Below are 13,463 nucleotides of genomic sequence, written 5' to 3'. Positions count from 1 at the left end.
CTTTGAGACAGGGTCTCACTTTGTCATTCAGGCTGGAGTGCAGTGGCAAACACAGTTCACTGCAACCTCTACCTCCCAGGCTCAAGCAATCCTCCCACCTCAGTCCCCGAAGTAGCTGGGACTATAGGCATGCACCACCACGCCCAGCTAATATTTCTGGCAGGGGACAGAGTCTCACTCTGTCACCCAGGCTGGAGTGCAATGGCGTGATCTCAGCTCACTGCAATCTCCACTTCTCGGGTTCAAGTGATTCTTCTGCCTCAGCCTCCTGAGTAGCACGTCCAGCTAATTTTTTGTACTTTTAGTAGAGAAGGGGTTTTGCCATGTTGCCCAAGCTGGTATCAAACTCCTGATCTCAGGTGATCCACCTGCCTCAGCCTCCCAAAATGCTGGAATTACAGGCGTGAGCCACCATGCCCGGCCCTAATTTTTTATATTTTTTGTGGAGACAGGGTCTCACCCATGTTGCCCAGGCTGGTCTGGAACTCCTGAGCTCAAGCAATCTGCCTGCCTCAGCCTCCCAAAGTGTAGGAATTACAGGTGTAAGCCCCCCCTCCTGGATGACTTTTTAATTTTAAAAATTGTGTCAGGACTTAAGTAGTTCAAAGTGGGAAAGTGCTATATTTCTAAAACAATATGAAACCTAGAATAGATTTCATTGATTTCTAAAAATGCAAGTAACATCTTAAAGGCACATGCATTTTTCCCTCAGTCACCTACTGAGTGCATTAAAATATTAAGATGTCAAAAAGTACATAAAATACAACATCATAACGTATATAGGAATAGACTCAAATACTTTCTGGTTAATTAAAATCAGGCTGAAAATTTTATTAGTTATAGGAAGAAATAGCAGTTGGAAAAGAAAATGTTTTCTAGTTGGTTCTTAAAGAATCTGAATTGAAAGTATTCCAATAGTTCTATGTAAAAAAATAACTTGTGGGTATTTTAGTAATATGTTTGTTCTTAGAATAGAACAGATGGCAGAACAAAATAAAATGTAATTTCCAGATGTATCATGTTGTAAATTCAGTGCCATGAACTGGGCATTATTAACTGAGTATCAAGTTTAAACATAGCCAGCACTGTAGCACTTTTGGAGTAAATTTTAACTAAATGATTAACCTTTGAAACATCATTTAAGGTTTATTATCTTGGGTAGGTATCCCAAAAAGTGGATATTGTAGTAGCTGTTCAAATCTTCTATTTTTAGATAGTCTGCTGCTGCTGTGTGAGCTCTTCCTAGTCTGCAAGGATCCCCAGAACAGAGTGAGGGGGAGCCCACAGTGGACCATTTGCACCCATCCCTCTTTGAAATCATTACAAAACAGCTGCTGTGTATGGTCCTTATTCAAGGAGTGAACTGTTCCCACCATGTCCTATTTCTTTGCTGATTTTACGGTTTCAAAGAATTTAAAAGTAGCTGCTTTTTACCAAGAGGTTGGGGACCCCTAAACTTGGCAATCCCAATTCAGATAATGTAAAAACAAATCAAAAGCTATCACTTCAGTTACCTGGTAGACATTTCCTTCTTTCAGGTCCATGTTCTAAGCATTATGAATGATGAGAGATTTCTTAAGTTTTGATTTATCCGAGTCAAGTATCTGTATTAGATTGAAGAATCACATTTGTTACAAATTAACTGCATAGACTTACAGTCGCTCTAGGGTAGATATTCTGTTTATTAATTAGTATGGTTCTAAATGATCTTAGGGAAATCATTTAAATCCTTATTTAGGGGTTTTAAGGGTCTAGCATATGATAAGTAGTGCCAGATTAATTTTTTTTTTACCTGCTTCTTAGAAGAACTGGATTGGCCATAGTGCACAGTATCGGAATGATGCTTCTTTGAAGTTTTGGAAGACTCTGGACATAATTTTCTTTTAGACCTGTGGGCTATTTTGCTTACTATCAACCTGTGGTCACTTGTACCAACTTCTTTAGCTTGATTTTCTGATTGCTGCTGTAGCAGTCGTGGATCTTCGGTTTCTCCATCTGATTCAAAAATGTGTGGCTGTCTTTTCAGTTTTAGTGACCCATGGCTTTTCCCTAAAATTTGTGTTATACCTTTGCCTGTTAAATTTTCTTTTCCTTTCATTTGGAAGTCAACAGCACTTTTTACCACCCCTAAATTGTTATTTGACACCACAAATACTGCACTATTAGATAGTTGCTTATTTTTGTTTAAACTCACAGTCGATTTTCCACGAGAAGAGGGAAATTTTGTCATATTTTCAGAAGACTCTGTATTTTTTTCTTGCAGAGGTCTGGAATTCTCCTGATTTAAATTGTTAGCAGCCTGCATCTGAATGTTACTACTATAACGGTTTTTTATAGCTGGACCTAAATTCAGTTTGTCATGCTGGATCATACTAGTTTTGAGTGAAAACAATTTAGATTGTGTCACATCATGCTGTTTTCTTTTTGGGCTGCCAAGTACTGAGGTATTTTTGTTCATTTGTAACAATCTATTTTTGAAAACTGGTACAAACTTAGGGGTGATGTTGCTTTGGGAGCTAAGATTTGTGTGCTGAACTTGAGTATTTCCTCTGTTGGGCATTAATACTTCTGAATGTACTTGTGGAGCCCTGATAGACAGGGATTTCTTTCTACCCTGAACAGACTCTGGCTGGAGATGCAAAGCTGAGAAAATGCCTGATGTTGGCTGGCTGACTGAAAGCTCCACCTTGTGGTCCACTGCTACTGAACATGGTAGAAGACTTTGAGCACAGGCAGGCTTTCTGGAAGTGGCTTGAGTCAGAGATGCCCTAAGCATTTTTTTAGTGGTCAAATTGGGTGGCTTGACTTTGTGTTCCTGAAAAGGATAGAGATTAAAAAAAAATTTAAAATGTTAATAATGTCCTTAATGGAAAAGAAATAAAATATAAAGTATCATCCAAATAAGAATATAAAGCAACACTATGATTTACAGAACAGGTAAAGAAAAACAAAATAAAAATGAGCCTTCTGGTGGAAATGAGTACATTTCTTATGGTTTGTATCCTCCTTTAGATACTATCCAAGATACTATCTTAAGATAAAGGTATATACTACATTTCATATAAATCTACCATAAAAACCATTCACACAGCTACCCACTGTCCTCCAAACATGCTCATGCTGCTGCCTTGCTCACTGAGCAAGGTATGACCTCCTTCAGATACTCAAAGTCCCACCTTCTCCCACCCATCAATCTACCACAGAGCGACTGTTTTTCTGTCAACTCTCCAAGGATCTGCTATCAATTAAATAATATTTGTCACAAAAAAATATTACAAGGTAAGCTCTCTTATCTTTTAGTGCACATATTCCATCTTCCTAAGTAGGTACCAGATTCTTGGAGGGTAAGAACCATGACTTATTTACTCTTATATCCTTCACAGTTACTAAAAATCCTTGTTGAAAGAAATTAATGAAGAGGTGGCTGCATCTATACTGGGCCTTTAGGAATAAGTGGGATTTTGACTACAGGGAAGGCGCTATCTGTGTCTTAATCATGTTTACTTTTTCACTGCCTACCACAGTGCCTGGTACGTGGTAGCAATTCAGCAAGTATTTGTCAAAGAAATTTGTCAGATACATTAAAAAGAGCCAAGCGTTTACAGTCTTTTAAAGATGAACTGTGGATACACACACACATACACATAAATAATATAAAATTTACCATTTTAACCATTTTTAAGTGAACGATTCAGTGACTTTAAGTACATTTACCACTGTACTGTATTATATAACCATCAATACTATTTCCAAAAATTTTTTTTCATTCCAAACAGAAACTTTGTACTCTGTAAATAGTAATTTCCTGTTTCCTCTTCCTTCTAGCCCCTGGTAACCTCTATTTTACTTTCTATTCTATGAATTTGCCCATTCTAGGTACCACATGTAAGTGGAATCATACAATATTTGTCTTTTTGTGTCTGGCTTATTTCATTTAGCATAATGTTTTCAGGGTTCATTTATATTGCAACATGAGTCAGGATTTATTCCTTTTAATGACTGACTATTCCACTGTACTTATATAGCATATTTTATCCACTCATCTCTTGGTGGAAGTATTGTCTTTTAAAGTACATATCTTGTCCTGTTGTCTGTAAAAGAGTGATAGGTAGCAATAACCTGAAACACTGAACACCAAGTTCTTTTCTCACTTTCCCCATCAAAACACAGGTTCACAGCTTGAAATAAACATTTTAAAACTGCTAGGAATAATATGCAAACTTGAATGACTGGTTTTTCTCTCCACTACTGGAGGTTCCATTGTTGAATTAGGTTGAGAAGAGAATAGGAAAGATTTTGGGAAATCAGAGTTGGAAATAGGCACAAGTAAGAGACTAATCCAATTATCTATTAGGCATAAACAAATCACACCAACATTTAGTTGCTTAAAACCAATAATAATTATGTTATCATCTCTCACTATTCTGGGGGTTGGCTTGGCTTAGTTTGGCATCTCTCATGCTGTGTGGTTAGATACTCTGCAGCTGGAGTCACCTTGGAGTCACTTCCTCTTTCACATGTGATGCGTGATGCTGGCTGTTGGCTGGAATGCTGACAGGCAGTCTCTTCCTGTGCTGGGGATCTCTCACAGATTGGGTTCCAAGAACAAATGTCCCCAGAAAGACCAGGTGGAAGCTGTTTCTCCTAAAGACCTAGCCTCAGGGTATGTTGCATCACTCTGTCATAGGGACATCCAGACTCAAGAGAACGAGACCCATACCTCAATGGGAGGAGTATTGTCCCATGACCAAAATGATGTGGAGAAGGAAATTCCAGGAAACTTAGTTCCATAATACTTAAGTTGACATAATAGAAAGTCATTATAGAGGACAATACTCCTCCTTCCATGTTGACTATTCTTGGGAAAAACGGAAAGTCCCCAAGAAAATATTGAGTGAGATTTGGGGGCGATGCTGAAAATAGGTGATTGGGATTCATTTCTTATCTGGAGATTACTTCAGTTGGAGGCTTACCCATGCCACCAGGGCAAGAAGACACACCGTCTTAGTTTCTTTTGGCTGCTATAACAAAGTAGGTAGTTTATAAGCAACAGTTTTGGAGGCTGGGAAGTCCAAGATCAAGGCAAATCTCTCTTGGGCCTTTTAAATAAGAGCACTAATCCTGTTTAGCACAGCTCTACCCCTATGACCTAATCACCTCCCAAAGACCCTACCTCCTAATATCATCACCTTGGGAGTTAGGGTTTCAACATTTAAATTTTGGAGAAACACATTCAGAGCATAGCACATCCTTCTTAATTTGCCCATTATTTTCAAGGGGTGCAAAGAAAACCCAGCTAAGTTTCATGACCCTGAATGAAGAAATACAGAAGTTAACCAAGGAAGAATTACTGGCTTACTGCCCCTTGACATTGCTCAGCTGAGTGAAAAAGCATGCATCAAGAAGGGGTTTGTATTAGAACAGAAACATATTATCTCAGTTTTAGAGCCTTGAAGTCTGAAACCAAGGTGTTGGCAGGGCTGGTTCCTTCAGAGGGCCAGGAGGAAAGGATCTGTTCCGGGCCTGTTTCCTCGGCTTGTAGATGACCATCTCCACCTTCACATGGTGTTCTTCCTCTATGTGTGTCTGTATCCAATTGCCCCTTTTCATAAGAACACTAGTCATATTGGATTAAGGGCCCACCCTACTACAGTATAACTTCATTTTAACTAACTATATCTGCAGTGACCCTATGTCAAATAAGGTCACATCCTAAGGAACTGGGGGTTAGGATTTCAGTGTATGTATCTGAGGGGTACACAATTCAACCTGTAACAGGGTTGGATATACACTTCTGGAGAGAACAGAGAGAGGAGGGAGCTGTTTTTCTGAAGACTCCCTGTACAAGGGAGCTAGGGTAAAGCTAAAAAGTAACTGATAAAACCTCATATACTATCTCTGTTGAGATACCATATGAGCAGAGACCACCACCATTAAATCAACCCAGGTCAAGAAGTGAAGGTGTGAAGGCCTCCTACCCCCACACCCCACAGCCAATCTCTATGCTGTGACTGCAATGGATAGGATGGACTGGTGTTCAACCTCCATTCCACCCTCCTCCTTGTGCTCCTATACAGACTAAAGCCTGGAAATCTAAAATTTATATTTCATCTTTTGCAGCTAGGGTTTGGATGTGATTTAGAACCAGCCAATCAGATGCACTCATAAAATATTTGGAAGTAGAAGTAAGGTCTAGCCACACTTCTGTTTTTGCAGAAACGCTTAACTATGAATGCCTTTGATTTTCAGTTACAGAGTTAGCAGCTTAAGTGTAGGGGAGCAGAATGTAGGGCACCATTCTCTTGCTATAGAGGAGTAGTCCTCAATCATTTTGTCACCAGGGACCAGTTTTGTGGAAGACAATTTTTCCATGGACCGGGGTGGTGGGGGGGATGGTTTTGAAATGAAACTGTTCCATCTCAGATCATCAGGCATTCGATTCTCATAAGGAGCATGCAACCTAGATCCCTCGTGTACGCAGTTCACAATAGGGTTCGTGCTCCTACAAGAATCTAATGCTGCTGCTGATCTGACAGGAGGCAGAGCTCAGGCGGTAATGCTCGCTCGCTCTCCTGCTACTCACCTCCTCCTGTGTGGCCTGGTTCCTAACAAGCCATGGACTGGTAGGTCCATGACCTGGGGGGTTGGGGACCCCTGCTATAGAGCATACTAGGCAAACATACCAGTGCACTTCACCACATACCACTGCCCTCATCCTATGCAAGGTTTCTCTGCACAGATGCTATCGTGAGAAGAAGGGTTCCTAAATTGGATTGAAGAACATTTCTACCTTAAAGAGATGTTTTGTCATAAGGGACTGAGTCACTTTGAAGTGTCCAGATTGAATTTTTTTCCGTTTCATGAAAAAAAGTTAAAGAATTAAAATGAATTATAGAAAAGCAAAGAACACCCACTGTTTGGACCCTTGGGTTCTATAAACTGTAGTAACATTTAAACAACATATCTACTACTTGAGATAAAAGAAAACTCATAGGCAGATTCATATAAGTTATTTGTATTCGAACATAAAACTGTACTAGAATATGTGTGTGGTATATGAAATATGTTTATATTCACACACTGTTTCTTCTTCAGCTGTCTTTTGGAAATATACATATGGTGAACATAATTTCCAGAAGTTTCTTTTGCTCCCTAGCCTAGACTGTCAATATATTATTTACTCATTCTTTCAACGTTTAAGATAAAGTAAATAGCTCAAAGGGGGAAACCTCTAGGTTTATATTCAAATTTATAAAAAGACTACAAAAGAGCCTATGTAAACAGCAGATGAGATGATAAATAATTCACAGAACTTAAATATACTTAATAGTCAACAAACTACAGCTTTGTGAAGTCGCAAGCCAACAAAAAAAATATGCTTTATTATATCATTATCATTATTCTGCCAAGTGTCATTGGCAAATGCAACTTGGTTGAATTTTAATTTCTAGAATTTATATACAACTTATGTAACTTTATACATTAACACAACATTATAGAAGAAGGCCAAAAGCTTGAACTTAGATATGAACGAATATTTCACAGAAGCTTAATATTAAAGCAATAATTAAATGAAAATGAAACTTGAGAAATGACAAAGATGACTAATCAAAAGTGTTTTATCGATCAAAATTTGGTTCAGTGCATTGCACCACCTCAGTGTATTTCTTGCTTGCTTCAAGTTGAATCAGAATTCAGTCAAGCTTAGATATAACCACAGGTTTATAGGACATATGGGTTTTTGAAGAATATTTTCTTTAAGTGACATGACACAACAAGGAAGTAGTCAAATTCAGAATATGGGACATTCTCCAGGGAAAACAATCTAGTTTTCTAGCAAATAACTGGCCTAAATAAAAGGGGAGAGAGTTTGAGATGTTACAGAATAAAGAGATTTAAGAGACATACATAAAATTATGTGGACTTTTTTTTGGATTCTGATTTAAATAAAACTCCTAAAAATAAGTCTGTGTGAGATAAATGGGGAACTTCAGTGTGAACTAGTACTTAATAGATATTAAGAAACTATTGTTAATTCTGTTAGGTATAATAATAACATAGGGGTTATATAAAAATATTTTGAAATGAGAGAGAATGTACACCATAGTCTTTACAGGTAAAACACTATATCTGGGATTGGTTCCAAAATCCCCCAGTTTACTCCCTACCCAAAAATATGTCAAGGGGAAACTAGATGAGAAGCACATGAGAGGTGATTATACTAATTTCCTTTATGTATCTTTGACATTTTCTATATGTTAAAACAAAACAAGTTTGACTAAGGATTCCTAATTTTTTTAAGCTGGCTGAGTTTTATCAAGTAGTCTGATCAATTTATTTTCCATTTTTTAAATTTATGCCTTTTACACTGCATGAATCTTAGAGTTAACATGTATATGGTCTAGTAATAACAACTTACTGAGAGCTCACCAAGAAACTTTTCTATGTGTTATCTCATTTAGTCCTAAAAACCCCTCTGAAGTAAGTACTGCAAAAGACATGACCCCCTTCAAAGGAAGGACTTACTGCCTCTGGTAGAGTGCTGTCAGCAGAAATAGGTTACAGAGGGCCAATGCCCAAGGATGTGCCTGTTTCACGGTGGCCCAAATCCAATGACAGATACAGAAAGGGTTATAAAGGCCTGGCTATCTGGACCAGTGCAGAACAACTCTGATGGGCCATTTTAGTCTCAGAGCTCCTCAGAAGAGTGGCCAAGGCCATCTGGTGTCTGCTTTGTTTTTGACTTCTCCCTTTCTCCACTCTTGCTTCCTCCCTGCCTTCCACAGGTATTGTTTCCAAGGGCAGTCCCTAACAAACATCATGTGCACTAGACCACCTCAGAATCAGCTCCTAGAGAACCGAATCTGCGACAAGTTTTATCATTACCACCGCTAGCCTCTGCCTCATTTTACAACTGAGGAAACTGGGGCACACAGAGATCAAATAACTTGTCCCAAATTATACAATTAATAAGAGGTTCAAATTCAGGCAGCCTGTTTCTAGAGCTTGAGCTCTTAGCTACAAATATAAACTTTTTCCAATTACAGGACTAAGAATCTTGGGTTTCAATTCTAATTCTGCAATGCATTTAACTGTGTGGCTTTGGTTAAATTATTTGGATGTTCTGAGCTTCGGTCTCCTCTTCTGCAAAATTGAGTGAATTCTTTATCCAAAGATCAATTTTGATTATTAAATGAAATAATACACATAAAAGCAGCTGGCATGCAGAAAGCACTCAATAGAATTGAGTAGGATAAATTCTTATTGTAAGGAACAATATAAAACCATAACTTCCAATTAAGTGTTATTTTACACTTATGAAGCAAATTTTAACAAGTGCATTGTTCTGATTAACTATTTTTAAAACAGACATGGGCTGGAAATCTTAAGTATTCCAGAAATATATTCAATAAACATGCATGATGTAACAACATATCTTCTTCCAGATTCTTTAGGTTCATATTTGGCCTGCAACTTTAAAAAATATTATGTCTGGACAAAACTTTAATACTGTTTTAAAGATGTCAATGGGCATTTGTCCACTCACTCTCCCTTCTAAGGAGATGACCTTGCCTGTAGGCCTTTGTATCTAGATTGTCAGGTTTTTGTACAATTTTTCTCTAACTAACAGTAGGAGGAGTTGACCCCTGACCAGGAAGATAAACAACTCTCAATTCTAAATTTACATGTATATAATATTGTGGTCTCAGAATACATAAAGCAAAATCTGAAAGTAGGAAAAGTGATAAATCCACATCATGTTGGGAGATTAGAACACACTTCTCAGCAACTGACTGACAGGTCATAATGTATTTAAGCCAGAAACATAAGAAAAAGATAGCTAGAAAATTCCCATATCTTAGAAAGTTAATAAATACATATTAAAATAATTCATGTAATTAATACATTTTGAAGTAATTTATGTATAGGAAGTACAAAAGACTTCCCATACATAAAGTTATAAACTATTATTGAGATAAATTAAAGAATATATATTTAATATGTGGAGAAATATACACTATTCTTAGATTGTAAGACTCAATGAAATTCCCATCAAAATCCCAGCATGCTCTCTCTGTCTCTATGTGTGTGTGTGCACGAGTGTGTCTGTGTCTATGTGTAAGTTGACAAGTTGAAACTCAATGTGTATGGAAATGCACAGATCAATAGATAAGATGCTTTATCAGATTTCAAAAATCTTATAAAATTTAAGATTAAAACACTATTTATAATAAATATAAAATTTAAGATTACATAATTAAGATAATTCTAAAAGCATGGTGCTGGTGCTAGGATCAACAAACTGACCAGAGAAAGAGATTAAAGAGGCCTGAAACAATACCATACACACAAAGACACTGGATTTATGACAAAGGTAGTGCTGCAAAGTACTGAGGGGAGAAAAACTATTGGGGAAAAAGTACTGGGGTAAGAATTGTGTTTTTTATTTTTGGCTTGGACATATGGATATCCATATTAAAGAAATCTGACTCCCTACATCACATTACAAAAATAAATTCCAACTGCATTGCAGATCTAAATGTGAATGCAAAACAACCTTTTATTGGATGATATTAGAGGCGAATACCTTCATGACTTTGGGTACAGAAAGATTTTTTAAACAGGGTACAAAAAGTAGCAACCATAAAGAAAAAGACTGATCATTTTGATTATAAATTAGGACCTGCTGCCAAAAGATACTATTAAGACACCAAGACACCTTTAAGAGAGAAAGCATGTTATAGAATGAAAGAAGATAATTATGTATAACTGATGAAAAACTCATATCTGGCTTATGTTAAAAATACGTATAAATCAATAAAAAAACAAACAAACACGTAACACAGTAGAAAAATGAAAGAATGGCATTTCAAAAAAAATCCAAATGGCCAAAATACATGTGAAAAGATGTTCAATTTCATTAATAATCGGGAAAATGCAAATTAAAAACACACAGTAATAAATACACCTATCAGAAGGGCTGAAATTCAAGACCAACAATACCAAAAATGGGCAAGGATGTGAAGCAGCATAAATTCTCCTATACTGCTTTGGGGCAGAGGGGAATACAGATTGGTTAGGGAAATAGTTTGGTGTAGCCAGCAAAGTTGGAAATACCCATACCAATTCTACTCCTGGAGGTTTCATGTACATGAGCACCAGCAGACATATACAAGAATGTTCATCACAGTATTACTAGTAATAGCCTCCAAAGAGAAACAATCCAAATATTCATCAATAATATTCTGAATAAATTGCAGCATAATCACATAATAAAATGCTACATATAAAGGAAAATAAACCGACTATAGCTAAGTGGAGCAACGTGGATGAATGTCACAAACATGATGCTGAGCCTAAAAAGCCAGGCACAAAGGAATACATACTCTATGATTTATTTTACATGAAGTTCAAAAGCATGCAAAATGAAATATGATGTTTAAGGACACATACTTAGTTGATAAAAACGAAACAAGGAATAATTTCCATAGTAGTGGTCACCTTTTGGGAGGAGGAAAGGAGTTATGACTAGGAAGGTGTTAAGTAGGAGGCTCCTAAGTCCTGGCAAGGTTCTATGTTTCATCTGTGTGATAGTTACATGGACGTTTGATATTCATTAAGCTATACAGTATTACTTTTCTATATGTGTGTCATATGTCACCATAAGAATAGATTTTAAAAATGCAGAGGAGACAAACTCAGTAGAAAACACCCTCCCTCCCCAATAGTTTCCAGCCTCAGTAAAAATAAAAACCGTGAATCTGATTTCAAGTTAAGTCTTCAACAGCTTTGTTCTGACAAACTCTGAGATGTAGGCCAATGCCCATATGGCCATTTCATCTTTAACTTGTCCATTAGCAGACAGCCAATTATATTAATTTCTTAATGAAATCAGACAGGAGCCAGACACTAGCCCTCTGTTTTCCTTATACAGCAGGGATCATACTTCAGTCTCTAAGTGGTTCCATAGAAGCCCCAACTTACTTGATTTGGTGAGGGGCAGGCATCTTACCTTCCATTTAACTGAACTTATACTGTCAGCACAGTATCTCCAAATAAATACTCTTCATAAAACTCTGTCTCTTTAATCTCCAATAACCCAACTCATTTATATCCTTGATGTAGGTGAAACATTTCAGTAAACAACTACTACTATAATACCATGTTAAATATAATAATAATAACAAATGACTAAGTATAGTAATAATAATAACAAATAGTTTTAGGGAAGCATTGAACTGAGATAAAAGAATTACTGCACACTGCGTTGGGTGTTCCACCCCAGAAGACAAGAGATTCAAGTAAAATAGATGGATAGTATGTCTTGGAGAACTAGATAGGACAAGAGATCTCTTACCTGTATATTAGGTTTAGTTAGTTCTTGTGTGTAGTAGCATGGTTTACTTGTCATCTTTATGGGAAATCCACATATATGGGGCAGTTTAGATTTTAAATCTGAAAGAAAACTTTTCAACACAACTTCCGAATCTACCCTTGGAAAGAACTGCATGGGCTGACTTCTGATGCAACTGAGAGGATATCTGAACAATGTTAAAGAACAATGTCTGATTTTATTACATAAGAGGCAGAAATTTATAAGGGATTTTAAAAAGTAGTAAAGTAGCAATGTTAAAAAGGCACACATAAATATATCTTAACTCTTTTATATTGCTTATCTGATACCATCCACAGATGAAAGTATGTTTTCTCACAGGGATCTTCATTCCTTCTATTCTAACATTCCAAATCAAGACAATTCATAATATCTTACTATATGGCTTTCTAAATGGAAAGGCAACTGTGATATTCCAAAAACGATTTATAAGGAAGATACTATAAGCCTTAGCAATTACAAAATAAGTATTATAATAAACAATGAACAGGTTGCACCTCCAAAAACAGTTAGAAATTCAGGACAGAGAAACAACACATATAGATTGTATTCAAGCTGCAAAAGCAGTTCTTTGAGAAAGCAGTTACTTTTTCTGATGAAACATATTCTGTAGATTTTGAATAACATGTTGGCATCTAATGAAATAAAATAACTGATGTATGTTAACCTCAGTTTTACTATTAAAATAAGTTTGGCTTAGGAAACAAAGAACGCAAAAAGACAACACTGAGGCTCTTCCTTCTTCCATTTTTAAACTCCAGCAGGTCAGAAGATGGAAATGGTGAAATCAGTACTAAGATTTAAGAGTTTCACCTGAGCACTTATGCTCTTCTCGTGTGTATATTTCGATTTTAAAAAATATTGTTTAAAAGATATTTTCTTAAGTCAATGGGGTGCAATTAAGTATAAGTCAAATCATCGAAAATTTGCCTATAAAATTAGATAATCTCCTCAAAAGAAAAATCTTGTTTTTGTTTACAACCTAAGCTTTTAATTCAACCCTTTCAATTGTATCTGAAATGCCACTGGAGGGAGCACTTGGCTAAGGAGAATCATGATTGCTTTCTTA

The 13,463-nt window shown here is 36.6% G+C and overlaps 1 protein-coding gene across 1 annotated transcript in view, besides 1 other annotated feature; it reads right to left on the bottom strand.

Annotated features, from left to right (window-relative positions):
• Positions 1 to 13,463, bottom strand: part of C18orf63 (chromosome 18 open reading frame 63) — a 43,351-nt gene that overhangs the window by 3,129 nt on the left and 26,759 nt on the right. The window contains exons 11-13 of the mRNA NM_001174123.2: positions 12,359 to 12,542; positions 1,793 to 2,815; positions 1,515 to 1,604 (exon numbers count right to left, since the gene is read on the bottom strand). Of these exons, the coding sequence (NP_001167594.1) occupies positions 1,548 to 1,604; positions 1,793 to 2,815; positions 12,359 to 12,542 (1,264 nt within the window). The 3' untranslated portion in view covers positions 1,515 to 1,547. The remainder of the gene's footprint in view (positions 1 to 1,514; positions 1,605 to 1,792; positions 2,816 to 12,358; positions 12,543 to 13,463) is intronic.
• Positions 6,937 to 7,106: an enhancer, noted in NCBI's record as "experimental_50347 CRE fragment used in MPRA reporter constructs". NCBI's record gives its function as "activates a minimal promoter by MPRAs in K562 erythroleukemia cells, with activity observed for both the introgressed and non-introgressed 18:72016275 variant alleles {active_cell/tissue: K562}" and the evidence as "EXISTENCE:reporter gene assay evidence [ECO:0000049][PMID:34662402]".

The sequence above is a fragment of the Homo sapiens genome, chromosome 18 (genome assembly GCF_000001405.40).
Source record: "Homo sapiens chromosome 18, GRCh38.p14 Primary Assembly".
NCBI lineage: Eukaryota > Metazoa > Chordata > Mammalia > Primates > Hominidae > Homo > Homo sapiens.
This window is presented reverse-complemented; position numbering and strand designations above follow the sequence as displayed.